Genomic DNA, 14580 nt, shown 5'->3' with positions numbered 1-14580 from the left:
TCATGAATAATTAAAAATGTAAAGGAATAAAGAAGTTGGTATGCTTTTCACTTCTGATACCTGCATTAGAACATCTTGCGTTTACCTTAGAATATGTGCTTTCTGCCTGAAAACAACATGAGAAATGAACATTACCTCATTTGAATCTATTCCATTGTTGACTGACCAGGTTGTTTGAAAATATTCGAGCATCCTCTGCTTGAGTTGTTGGGGCAAGTGATGGACACGGATGAAATCTTTCAGATCCTTAGTTCTAGTGTGATAGAGGGACCATCTGGAGTACATCCTCTGTATGATTGCTGTCACGTTTCCAAACACCAAGGCGTGCATCAAGGCTAGAAAGAACAACACAGTATATAATGGAAGAGAAATGTGACATGAGGCCCACCACGTAAATCTAAATTTACAGTTTATCCTGGATCAGAGCAGAGCAGAGCATGGTTACATGGCCATGTTGATACAGCTATTTTGGTACAAGCATTTTGGTACAGACAGTGTGTCACAGGGTACATCCTGAAGCAGTCACTTTGATTCCATATGGCTTGATCAGAGTAAAAATATCTTTAAAAATACTCAATCATATGCAAAATAGGCCCCTTTGATTTACGTTTAACCTGCTAGCTGCCATTCTGGTTATGATAAACTTTTATTTGAACTCAATTTACATCTATATTATTTTAATAGTTATGTATAGTTTGATAGTTACAATAAAATAGTCTTCATTGTTTGATAGAAAAGCTATAAAGTTATAGTTTAATAATTACTTTTATAATAGTAATGAATGAAATAAATTTTTGAAATAAGTCTATTTTAATTAGTTAGCCTTTGTGGGAATTTTAGTCTCACCCCCTCAAAAAGCCATCATTTAAAATTCGTTTTAGAATATTAAATATGATACATTTATATTAATGCAGATATGGAGGAAGTTGTTAAAAATGTAACTGAGGATTTCTTGAGCAGTGTGAAGCTCCAATACCCAGCCCAACCCCAGCTCTGCAGTTATTTTAATTTTGAGGGAGATATTGGAAAATTTGAGACCATTCAAGAAACAAATGAATTCACAGAGAAAAAGAGGTATTCTGCTTAGAGTCCTTGTTGCCACCATGAGATGCACCAGCAGGGTATATATATATATATATATATATATATGGGACTCTTGTTTCAATGAGGTTTGTCAACCAGATAGTATTTAACCTCCAGTTTCTTGCTAAGCCTGCCCTTTGAGCCTGTCCCAAACCTACCATCAAAGTGTAATGACATGAACAATTTTGTTCACCAGAATTTGAGGGCATATGGAGATTTAGGGTGGGTATTTCTTCTGGAGAACAGTAGAGTGAAAGGATGGACCTCACTTTCCAGGAATTACCCACTTTGGGAAGCATCTAGGTATCATCAAGTCAGAGAAGGTATGACAGGATTTTGCACTCACTAGTCATTAGCAGAATGAAACCGAAATGGTTTCTAAACCAGCAGATAATCCAAGAAGGCCTTGGACACACCTGGAACTGTGAAACTGAGAGAAAGATGAGGGTCAAGCACGTTCATATTTATGGATAATTCAACTCTAAGTAATATTCAGATTTTATCCCTGATCCTTATTCTGGGACAGGATTAGGAATGAAGTATGAAGCTTATGTGTTGGGTAAAATCATCTGTTTCAGTAATTTGGGGCTTAAAAAAAGACTAAACATTTAGTAGCTTGTCTATTAGGATCTATCAAAATGTACATGTACAAAACCTTAGTGCCCAAGAAGCTATGTTAAAAATTTCTTAGCATCATAATGGATACATTGGTGCAAATATGTCAACATATTATTACTTCTATCTTCCTGAGTATTTCAGGACCTCCCCAATTCAAATCTTGTTCTCCCCCTACATTTATCAGAAATTACCAAACACTGGCATACTAACTTAATTCTAATCTTACATTGGAATTAAAATTATTTCCTAGGTAATACATAATTTCTCTATGGAATAATGGTCACTATGTCTATAAAATCACTCCCTTCATAACAAGACCTCAGTATTTTAGAAAAGCTACTAGAATAGGGTTAAACTTAGGGTCTATATACAAGAAGCAATATAATGTTGCAGAGAGAAGATGAACTTCAGAATCAGACAGATCTGGATTTGAATACTGATTTTGCTACTTCCTAATTGTGTGAACTTGGTAGGTTACATAATTCCTTTAAACAGATTCATGTTAAATGGGCATACTCATTATGTTAAATAGCCCTTACTCATAGGGCTATTTCAAGATTTAAAGACAAATGTATTTTTTAAAAAGTGCCTAGTATATGTATCAAAAACAGTATTTGCTCAGTTTATGTAATTTTCCTTATGAAAGTGAAACATGTTATGAATTTTCAGCATGCTCAATGCAATTAAATTTGGGGAAAATGACTCAGATTTAAGGTTTTCCTGCAACCTCTTAAATAGTAAAGAGCGGCTCTTGGTAGACATAACTTATTGATGAAATAAATTCAAAATATACTCAATAAATGCTTGATACACGCAAGAATGTATAAGTATGTATTATTCCTAAATGTTCAAAAATTAAATGTTTCCCAACAGGTCAAAAATATTCCACGAAAAATATATATCGTGTAACAACTAAATGTTGGATTTGTTCTTTGTAGATTCTAAATAGAGGTTCATTCTTCTGTATTGTTTTAGAAGCACAGCAGTTCTGATGCTTAAGTCTTTTATTTGGAAGATAAGAGCTCTACTTATGATAAACACTCACCAAAGAAAAGAACTGATTCTGCTCCAAGTCAAAGAAATTAAACATCGACTTCAGGCACCCTTAATATACTTATGGGCTAAGTGTTTGGAAGCCCTACCATCTTTAACACTATGTAATAGTCTTTCCATGGAGATTAAATCGAGTACAGAGAACAATTCTGTTTCATTTATTTTAACACTGCTTTCCTTAATTATGTGTATGATTTTAACTTTGCTTTGCTAATTATAATGTGTAAAGCACTTAAAGTAAGAGAAGTAATATGTTCAGATTATTTAGCATCCTAGTTGTATTTTATTAGTAAAATGAATTACTGGATTAATTGTAGCATTCATAAGTGTTGTTGAAAAGTACTAGTCTATGTCTGAGTCACCACAATTTCAAAGTCTCATTTCAGCATAGATAACTACTTCTAATTTAAGTAGTTAAAAAAATAAAATTCTGGTCCTCATAGCCTTTCATTTTCCAAAGTTATTATGACCATTCTGTCACTGGTTATCATTTCACCCTGGCAAAGAGTGTGTGTAACTGTCAGGAAACATCATTCCATCTGTTATCAAAGTTTGACTCAAGAACTTCTATATCCAGGTCAGTTTGGAAATTATCACTTACTTTTCCTTTATTTCTAGCAAATTTGATGTATATAATTCTTGAGTGTTAGACCTGCTGAGTGTGTGGGCGTCTCTTTTTTTGTGTGTTGGAGTTTTGCATAAAATGCATTTTGTAAAATCTCATCTCAGTATCAGGTCTTGGAAGGAACCTCAACAATTGGCATCTAAGAAGAAAGTAAGCAGTTCTCAAATGAAAGAAGTGCTTCTATAGAACTGCCTGGCTTTTTCTTTCTCTTTCTCTTTCTCTTTCCCTTTGTCTTTTCCTTTCTCTTTTCATTTCCTTTCTCCTTTTTCTTCCCCCTTCTCTTTCTTTTCCTGAATTTTGGACAACACTTATCTCCTGGAGTATAACATCATTGCTAATTACTTTAGCCAACTATTTTGCAATGGCTTTGGAGGCTAAGTAGGGGGTGTTTTCTACTGATATAAAAGGAGGCCAGAGCTCAGGTTTTGGGTAATCTTAGCTGCCCTCCTTCTCTTTCCCACCTCCTCATTGCCCTGGAAATTTCCATTCTTGGTTATAAGTACACTGGCTTGTGGATGGCAGATGGCAGAAAGAATAGAGATGAGAAAAATTTCTTAAATAATGAATTTAAATGGCAGTGCAAAGACATCTTGAGAACAGCCTGAATTTGTGAACACAATAGCTCATCATATGGGTCCAATAAAACTATGTCAGGGTAGTGTGTGTGTATTCAGTGGGGGGACCCGAGGGAAGCCTTGATTACTTTGTGATAATAATGCTTCATTGAAACTGAATATGTTATCAGTGATGAACGATCTTTACTAGGAAGCTTTATCCAACCTCCAAGGCTGTGCTGATGACTCTATCAACTGGGGCAAACTCATTAGGTGACTATAAGCAGTCACTGCTTAGTATGAAAGAATTTTTAAAGACATGAGAAAATCTTTTCTGTATATTTTGTCTGGTTGTGAAAAATATGAATAGTTATACATACATATTTCAAAAAATAGTTATATATGTATGGAAATTCTGGAAAACTATTTTTTGATAATGAGACTGTGTAATTTTATTTTTCTCTTTGTTTTCCAGTCTTTTCTAAATGTGCATTATAATAGAAAAAAATAGAAATAACAAAGGACATCATCTGCTTAAGTACCTATTTCCATTATTAAACTGTGAACTCCTTGAAATAAAGTATCATATCTTAGTCATCTTTGTTTTCCCTGCATCTAGCACAGCTCTTGGCATAATTTAAGTATGCCATAAATATTTATGGAACTGCAATGTGCCTCTGGTAGTTTGATACTTTCTTTAAAAAGTTTTATAATTGTAAGCAAATGGTTTAGAAAATCTATGATAAATAGTCCAGCCCCAAACCCATCCCTTCATCCCCATCTCACTCGCTAAAGTCAACCTTTTAAAATGATTTTTTTGGGTATTTTTGCAGTTATCACCAAAATTTTGGACAACATAATTGTACTCCATTGCTTGACTCATTATTGTTAAGACAAACCTAAAAACAATCTGATATGAAAGGCAAGAACTTAGCTCACTATTAGCTAGCTTCTTAACTCATGCTTGATATATTATTTTTAGCTCATCTATTAAAATTTTACAAGGTAAAATTAAAATCAAAGATACATACAGAACAAGTTACACATTTGCTAAATGTGAAGCTCATTGAGATTTTTCAAAGTAAACATAGCTATAGAATCACTACCTCCCACCACCCGAGATAAATAAACCAAATATTAGTATCCTGGAGGCTTCCCTGTGTCCCCTTCACAATCACTAACCAATCCCTTCACCAAAGGTAACCACAGTTACCAATTATATTACAATTAATAAGCTTTGCCTATCTATAAACTTTCTCTAAACAAAATCATAAAATATGTACTTTTTTTCGTCTGGCTTCTCTGTTGAGCATTGAGTTTGTACGATTTATCCATAAGGTTCCATGACATAGTAGTTCATTTACTCTTATTAGTGTATAATGTTCTCTTGAATAGGTATTTCACAATTTACTTATTTATTCTCCTATTAATGGACATTCCCAGTTTGAGATTCTTACAAAAATGCTTTTATAGACATCTGTGTATATAACCTGAAGTATATATGTATGCATTTCCATTGGTTATATATTCAGAAGTGGAATTGTTGAATCACAGAGTAGAGGTATATTCAGATATGGTAGATGTTGACAAAGTTGTATCGACTGACATGCCCATCAACAGTATAGGAGAGGAGGTCAAGGTGTTTCATTATCCTCTCAAACACTTAGGGTTGCAGTGTTTTTAAACATATCATTTTGGTGAACAAAAATGGTATCTAATTTTGGTTTTAATTTGCATGTTACTGATTAATGACATTGAGCACCTTTGTATATGTTTGTCATCTACTCAGGTATTGGAAATCTACTTCTGAGGTGTTTTTTTCAAGCTTTTGCCCATTTCAGGGCGTTGATTGATTTTTTTCTTATTGATTTAACAGTTCTTTATATATAGTAGATGAGAGTCCTTTGTCAGATAAACATTTGAAAATATCTTCTCCTATCCTGTAGCTTCTCTCTTCACATTTATAATAAGGTCTTTTGATAAAAAAGAAGTTCTGCAGTTCAATTTATCATTCTTTTCCTTTAAGGCTAGGGCGTTTTGTGTCATGATTAGGAAACCTTTGCCAAATCAGACGTCATAAAAAATATTCTCCTATATTACCTTTTAGAAGTTTCATTGTTTTCCCTCCTAAATTTAGGTCAAAATCCACCTGGAATTAATTTTTATGTACAGTTTTAAGAGGGACCAAGGTTGTCTTCCAACAGGTAGATATACATTTGGCCCAACAACATTTACTGAAAGTAGCATCCGTATCACAAATGAAGTGACAACATGTGTGAGTCTGTTTCTGAACTCTCTTCTATTTCATTGGCCTATTGGTCTGTTATTGAACAAACACCATACACTCTTAATTACTGTAACTTTGAAATACATTTTGATATCTGTAGCACAAATCTTCCAATTTTGTTCTTTTTCATGATAGCTTTGACTGGTTTTAGCTCTTCTCCACTGATTTTTAGAAACAACTTGTCAATTTTCAAACACACCCACACACAAACACACATCTACTGGAATTTTTATTGGGATTGCATTGAGTCTTTAGGTTACTTTGAATACAACTGATATTTTTGCAACGTGAGTCCATTGTTAGCAACCATCACCATTGTACATCCTTCCATTATTTTCTCACTAATGTTTTGTAATTTTCTGTATAGAAGTCTTACAAATTTTTAGTTATAATTATTCATACATATTTAATTATTTGTAATCATTTTTTATATTTTATTTCTAATTTGTTACTAGTATATAGAAATGCAATTGATTTTTTGCATATTGATCTTGTGTCCATAAACATTATTGAATTCGCTCATTAATTCTGATATTCATCTGAAGCTATTAGAATTACTTATTTGTTTTGGGTGTTCTCAAAGTTCACATGGTTTTGTCTATGTATAATTTTTAGAAACTATTTTTGCTTTAAATCTCTCTGATTTATAGTTTTAAATATTCCTCCCATATATTAGTGGTTTGTACACTCCATAATTACAGATGCCTATATGGAAGTTTATATGGCATCTTAAATGAAAACTTTATATATACACATATATATAAAGTTTATGTTTATATACATATACACACACATATGTGTATATATATGTGTGTGTGTGTATATATGTATATTTATATATATATATAAAATAAAACCTGTACAACTCCTGTGGAAATTCTGGTGGGTTCCCAGAGGACTCCTAGGTGGATCCATTCAGCATTTTTTCACCCATTTCTTCTCACTGAGCAATATTATCTCTGTCCTTGATAATTATCTGGAGTTTTGCCAGTCCCCTTTCTCATTTAATATTGCTACTGCCGATTTTTCTAGTATATTGCATCCTTGCCATTAGCAATTTCATCAGCCTTGTGTGGGGGATTCCTAGTGAGATACCCTAGACTTAAGTCTATGGTAACACAAATTTTAGATTTTTCTTTTTAAAAATAAATTATTTGTTTATATTTATAAAAATTAAGTAAACAAAATAAATTTATAGTACATAATAAAATGAATATTTTAGAAGAAGTTTGCCAGGTCTTAGTGAGTCCTGGATTTAAACTCACTAAATCTCTTCTGCCTTATGTCTAAATTGGGGTATTAATAATCTCTATCTCACAGTATTATGAGAATTAAATGAACAAAGTGCTCAATAGTGTGAGCTCTTATGATTAGTTCTCAACATTTTACAATTAATTAGTTAATTAGGAAATATTAAAATGCAGGCATCATTTTTCCTAGCCAGGGTAATTTTCACAATAATATAAAATTATTTCCCCACAAACACAAATATGAAAAGCTTTAACTAATAAATTCAAGTCACTTAGATGGCATTTGACTTTCAAATGAATAGTTTCCTAAGTGCTGCTCGGGTCACCTAAATTTTTTAATGCCACTTACCAATGAGCACTGATTTTGCACCAGGACATTTGCTCAATAAACATTCAACAAACAAGAAACAAAGTGACATTATCAGATTATTTCCCACATCTTTTGGCCTTGTGATCAGTGTCGCACCTACCTACAGAGAACAGCAGGGAATAGTTTGTGCATTAACAATTTTTGATTCAGTACTACTCACAATACAGTAAGTGGATCAATAGATAATAAGCTCAATTATCTTATGGATTTTTTGAAATGTCAAATTAGTAGAATTAGGCTTTGAGCATTTCCCAAAATTATCATCAGGAGTAGAAGAAACATGGGCAAGTATTAAATAAGTATAGACTGTGTTTATCTGCAAAATGCTTGTGATTTTGCTTGGCTGAAATATGGGATATCACAGAGAATGGAAATTATAAAAGTCATAACGCTGGATATAAAACAGTCACCACAGGGCCTGGCACATTGTAGCTCTTCAGAAAATGAGAATTCCTGTTCTCTGCTCCCTAGGCTGTCACTGCTCTACATCAGCCAAGAGCTTGTTACAGTTGCTGCAGCCCCAGCATGCTACTTGAACAACTGTGCCATGGCACTGTCTTTCCAAGAAACTCTCACTGCTTCTGAACTTCCTAACTGATGTGGCACTTAGCATTTACTGCCTGGTATCATTAAAACTCTTTCCACATGTTTAAGCCCATCTCCTCCAAACTGGATCATAAGCTCTTTGAGGGAAGGTTTGTTTTTATACTTCTTTGATTTCACTGTATGCTGCGTGATCCATTGCTTAAGACCCACACACTCATATCACATCTCTCATGCAAGGAAGCCTGTAGGAGCCATCTCCTATTATAAGGTTCAAAACTCAAAGTGATATCTTGAATTAAGGTCATTAAGAGGACATGCTAAAACAGGCTTTGAGGGGAATATTGTGGGGCAGAAAATATTAACAGAACTTTAGCCTAAGAAGAATGCTTACTTGATCAAGGTAGACTTCAACATCTCCTAATACTCCATCACAGCAGTCTTATAGTTCAGTAAAGTTTCCCTTTACATATTTAAGGAGAGAAGTAAGTATGCACCTGGGTTCAAACCTTGCATCTTTACTAACTGGTTGTGTGGCATTGGGAAAGTTACTTTAATTCTCCATACTTTAGATCTGTCATCTGAAAAATGTGGATAATATCAATCTGCATCAGTTGGAAGATTTAGAAGAAAGAAATTACACTAAATATTTCAACAGCAGTAATTCAGTATAGAGAACTGGTTTTCCTGGGGTTGGAAGGCTGAATAAATAAAAAGGGAGCATAGAGGTAACATGGACATAGCAAATGTAGAAGGCTTAACCCTTAGGGCTGGATACACAAAGGGAAGAAGTGCAGTTATCAGAACATAGAAACACAGAGCAGGAGCTGTGTGGAGTGTCAGGGAGCCAGGGTTCTCTTTGGACAAGATAGTGCCCCTGACTGATGCAAGATTGTCTGAGGAGGTCCAATCAGTTTGGTTCTGAGAATGAAGGCTGAAACCACCTGCTGCTGCTGAGGTGCCCGCCTCCACTGAGGGAACAGCATGCACACCAGAGCAGGCAGTCCCTCCTCCCCTCCTCCTGCCTGCCAGTCTTCCCTTGGTTCCTCCCATAAGAGAAAGCAACTGAGGTCAGCTAGCGAAGAAGAATGAGTTTTGCAGAGTACAAACCCCAGCATTACAAAGCAAATAAATAAAGGTGGGTTTGGAGTCCAGAGAAAATAGTATAATAAATTGTCTGTTTGTTATATGAAATAATAATAGTGCCAACCCCAAAGATTTGCTTTAAAAATTATGGTATTATGTCAGAACACTTAGAACAGAGAATGGAACATAAAAACAACTAATAAATGTTCACTATTTATTATTGTATTGGTGTTGGCATATAATAGACATTCAGTAAGTATTTGGTTATACACTTGATATGGTTTGGCTGTGTCCCCAACCAAAATCTCACCTTGAATTGTAGCTCCCATAATCCCCACGTGTTGTGGGGAGGGACCCAGTGGGAGGTAGTTGAATCATGGTGGCAGGCTTTTCCTGTGCTGTTCTCCTGATAGTAAATAAGCCTTACAAGATCTTATGGTTTTATAAAGGGCAGTTCCCCTGCACGTGCTCTCTTGCCTGCCACCATGTGAAATGTGCTTGTGCTCTTCCATTGTCTTCCACCACTATTGTGAGGCCTCCCCAGCCATGTGGAACCGTGAATCCATTAAACCTCTTTTTCTTTATAAATTGCCCAGTCTTGGATATGTCTTCATTAGCAGTGTGAGAATTAACTAATACAATATTTGAATACATAAATGGTTGAATCAAGCCTGTTATTTTCCTTCCTTTCTATTGTGCCTCTATCTAGCTAGTTCTCTTCTTCTTGCTTAAAAAAATTACATGCAATAATTCATGTTATCAAAATTTTTTTAAAAAATTATGTAAAATGCTATATAGTGAAAAGTCTTCCCTTGAATCTGCTGACTCTTATTAAAATTTATTTATGTATTAACAAGCAATATACATATGTTGGTTCTCCTTAGCCTGCTTTCTACTGTTAGGGATTTCTCTACTCTTTTTAAGTTTGTTTCTTTCTGTCTTTGTCACTCACTCTTTTTCTTTCTTTCTTTTGCCTGCCTGCCTGCCTTCCATCCTTTATCTCTCTCCCTCTCCTCCCTCTGTCTCTTTTTGTTTTTTCTCTCCACTTTTTCTTCCTTCCCTTCAGTTCCTTTTGCTTTCCTTCTTTTTATCCTTTATGACTCATTATATTCTTTGCAATATCTATTCCCTTTTTTCTCTTCAATTTTATCTTTGTGCATAAGATGGCTTTGCTTTTTTCTTTTACGTCTTTGCTTAGCTATTTTAGCTTATCTTTAACCTCTGTTATTATATCTTTTCTAAGATACTTTTTGTTTGTGGTCTTCTTTAATAACAGCAATAACTTTATTAATATATTTTGAATTATTGTCTGTTGTTAGCATGATCTCTGCAAATATGAATGGTCCGTGTGATTCTTTGTGAGTTGAGCCTTCTCTACTTCTCCACCAAACTTGCTCACTTGGTGCTCTTACTTGCAATAAAGGAGGGTGATAGCTTTTGCACTTTGGATCATGAACCTCATACTTAGGAAGTGTATTTTTGTTGATGCTTTCTGAGATTTGACATGCTAGACCCTCTTGTCAAGTCTTCCCATCTCTCCTCACGTTTGCCATCTATGAGTCTCAGTTTTTGCAGACTTTATGTATATTTATGAATCATAGCTGTCTCTTAGTTAAACAGAATATTGAACTTACTGGCTTTAAAAAATATGCTTAATGCTTTAAAAATTTGATTTCTTTGAAGAGAAATATAAAATGCAGATTATTTCATTATGTTCATATAAGAAATATTTGTTCCTGTTTTTGATTGTCATAAAATTCTCTAGAGAGCATTTTGGGCAAATTTCCTAATTTTTTAATGTTTTGAGCTTTCCAAAGTAAGTGTATTTGGGGCTTTCATTCCAGGAGTGGGGATAGATGTTTGCTGAATCAACCACCCTCTTTCATTGAGTCTTATAAAATGAGTTGCCTAGGGAGAGAAGTGCGAAGACTGAAAATACAATTCACATCTAAATGAAATTTGTTTTGTTATTGGGAGAAGTACTGCTGGATCTTACTAATACCCTTGCTTTATAGAAAGCAATGATATTTATGGTCATATAACATTACATCAGAGATAGAAAGAACCACAGTTGCATCTTGCCTAATACCTCATTTGAAAGATGAAGAAACTGAGTGAAGAGTCTGAAACAGACTTGATCCATAGTTTCAAGGCCACAATGTGGACCAGAAAGAGGGCATATGTAAAAGTAAGTTGGAGGATCTAGGAAAATTCAGGTTCTAAGCCACTGTCCAGAGTACATATCCTAGTGGGCAGGGCAAATGTGTATTATAAGTTTGCCTACATAGCCACCTCTTACTTCATCTTACCTTTGCAGGATAAAACAGTAAGCTGGATGAGGTAATGATTCTACATAAGAGGAGCCCCACGTGTTAATCTTGCTCCATTCTTCTTAAATGCATGCTCTTGTGTGTTAATCTCTCAAGTCCTTTTTTACATGGAACCACAGAGACAACTACAGCTTTGCATCTAGACTGTCTAATTAGTGCTTTTAGAATCTTCCAGTGTTAATCAGTTTATCTGTTTTGTATTTCAGGACAGAACAAACAGGCAGTGACAGTTAGGTAGGCATAGTTCCTCTTCTTAGTATAAAAGAAGATGCTCTCTTACCACCAATCAGCATGGTGCAGATGGAGAAGATCTTTTCTGCATCTGTATTAGCAGAGACGTTCCCAAAACCCACGCTGGTGAGGCTGCTCAGCGTGAAGTACAGAGCGGCAATATAGGCACTTCGGATCGACGGGCCCCCCAAGGTATTGTTGCCATAGTATGGAGATTCCAGTCTCTTTCCCAACTCATGAAGCCAACCTGCAAAGGAGGAAATAAAGCAAATGAGAGAAGAAAAAGTAAAGTCTCAGTATTAACACATGGGAGTAATGATAAATGAACATTTGGGGAGGTAATAATTTGCTCAGAGGAAGAAGAAGGTAAAAAGGAAATTAAAGGCAAGCTATTAGATTTCATTCTTTAAAAGTGAAAATATAATTTTACTCATGCTGTTCTCTATAATACACACAGCATATAAATATGAATTCCAGAGTGGATTGATGGTCAAAGCTAAACAAGTTACTCTAATGCAAGAAACAAACTGCAGGGATGGCTACTCTCAGAAACAGTGTTGTTTATTTCACTTGCCCTGTTAAGCTCATCTCATTTGGAATTATAAGAAGAAACAAAGAAATTGAGTAAATATTTCAAAACCCAATGTGATGATAAGTTACAACAGCCATAAGTCTAGATGTCAGAGGTGAGAAGTCTAGAAGTCTGGGTGAGATAGACTTTATTTCCATTCTGTAAAACTCTTCCCCTTTGTATTCACTTGGGCAGGTATCCAGTTGTTTTACAAATCTCAGCTCATGTTACTTTACTCAGGAAGCCTTCTTTGCAGTCCCACTTCGAAATTAGGGTTGGAAGGGGGAAAACTTGCACAAGTAATGAATACTTGTAATCTATTAGAATTGAAAGCCCCTCTACAAACTGTTTTATGATACTATGTATATATGTGTCAAAATTTATCAAATTAAATGCTTTATAAATATGTATAGTTAATTGTATATTAATTGTGCTGTCAGAAAGCTGTAAACAACCTATATTAATAAACATGAGAAGATAGCAAGTATAAGCTTAATAATATTATCTAGAATTTAAACACAACACAAAAATCACTTTAAAATTCTTTATTGAAAATATTTGTCCCTTAAGATTTTATATTTTATAATTCTTTCTCTATGTGTGTGTTGCAACAAGCAATAACAATGCAGCTCAACTCATAAGATTCATAAGGATTTTTGTAATGGATACTAACTACTACTTTCTAATAAACACTTGATTGAATGACTGCTCAAGAAGAGATGAAAAACCATTACACTCTTAAGCAGTAATAATATTATCATTATCAACTAAGCTTATATATGATAAAACTGTGCTAGGTAATTAAAATGCAAATTTGAAGCAGCTGGGAATTCCTTGAGACCAAGGAGAAGTGCTTAAGGGCAAGTACTGTGCCTTATTCCTTCTGTGTTGCTACAGAGTGTTTTTCAACCTTTAGCTTGCATCAGAAACACCTAGAGGGCTTGCTAAAGAGGGTCCGAACCAAGAATTTATTTGGTTGTTTTGGTCCTGTATTCTCTGAATGAAATCACTTTGCATATCATTTACTTTCCTTAATAAAATAGGATAAAAATTTGTATTGGAATGCACAGGTGATATGCTTACTCAATGTCTGTTCATTTACACATGTGTGAGATGGTGTGTCTCTGAAGTGTTTCAGGGAGCAACACACAGACAAACAACTGACCTAATTTTGTTGATATCTCTTTTCTGTCTGGCCAACTGTTTTGTCTATTTTGAGAAACATCTCATTCTTTAAAAGGATTGCCCTAAACTGTGTTACAGCTGATGAAGCAGAAGCAATAATGATGATGAAAAAAACTGGTAACACAGAAAGGAGGTAACATCCACAAATCCGAGGATTGGCTATGTGGGCCAAATAAAACTTTTTCACAGAATGGCTCTTCTGAAATGACAGTACATGTTCCACGGTAACAAGACAACATGTGACTGTACTGTTACAGAAGATGCTATTTAACCAATTTGGAATCCAATCATTTTTTTATGCTGGAGAAACTCATGTCTCTAAAGGAAAGGATGTCCTAGGACAGCCTGTTTCTGCTCAAATTTTTTTTTTCCTAAAGAACATTTTGAATGAAAAAACATACACAACATAAAGTAGAATCTAAATATACTGAGGACACTGACTTATGATAAAAACAAAAGGTATCATAAAATAATCTCATAATTAGTAAAATAGATTCCATGAATACAATAGGTTTATGAAATAAATAATCAATTTCAAAGACAGAATGACTTCACAGTCATTCCTAGAAGAGTTTATCATTAGCATGATAATTCAGTTGATGTATTTTTCGATTGCATAGTTACCATGGACCCAGTATTTTGCTTAATTACATACTTTTAACTCTAAATAGGAGTTTATTATTTTACTCTTTAGATTTCCTACAATAATATACTTTGGTTTACTATTTATATGTGTGCATTAACAATGTGTACAGGTGTGATCTGTTTTATACAACAGATGTGTTCCTAAAAAC

General features: G+C 34.4%; 1 protein-coding gene and 1 long non-coding RNA gene across 7 annotated transcripts in view; one reads left to right on the top strand and one right to left on the bottom strand.

The window, feature by feature from the left end:
• The window catches only part of KCNH8 (potassium voltage-gated channel subfamily H member 8), a 387133-nt gene that overhangs the window by 85202 nt on the left and 287351 nt on the right, over positions 1-14580 (bottom strand). For 5 of the 6 annotated variants that reach the window (XM_017005698.3, NM_144633.3, XM_017005700.3 and 2 more), the window contains 2 exons: positions 12080-12277; positions 136-335 (listed from right to left, as the gene is read on the bottom strand). In XM_017005698.3, the coding sequence (XP_016861187.1) occupies positions 136-335; positions 12080-12277 (398 nt within the window). The remainder of the gene's footprint in view (positions 1-135; positions 336-12079; positions 12278-14580) is intronic. The other variant, XM_047447430.1, reaches the window with a different exon arrangement.
• Positions 1-14580, top strand: part of LOC105376982 (uncharacterized) — a 97844-nt gene that overhangs the window by 36526 nt on the left and 46738 nt on the right. The gene's annotated exons all lie outside the window — the stretch shown is intronic.

The sequence above is a fragment of the Homo sapiens genome, chromosome 3, assembly GCF_000001405.40.
Source record: "Homo sapiens chromosome 3, GRCh38.p14 Primary Assembly".
Taxonomy (NCBI): domain Eukaryota; kingdom Metazoa; phylum Chordata; class Mammalia; order Primates; family Hominidae; genus Homo; species Homo sapiens.
Note: the sequence above shows the minus strand (reverse complement) of the source record. Positions and strands in the feature narration are given on the sequence as shown.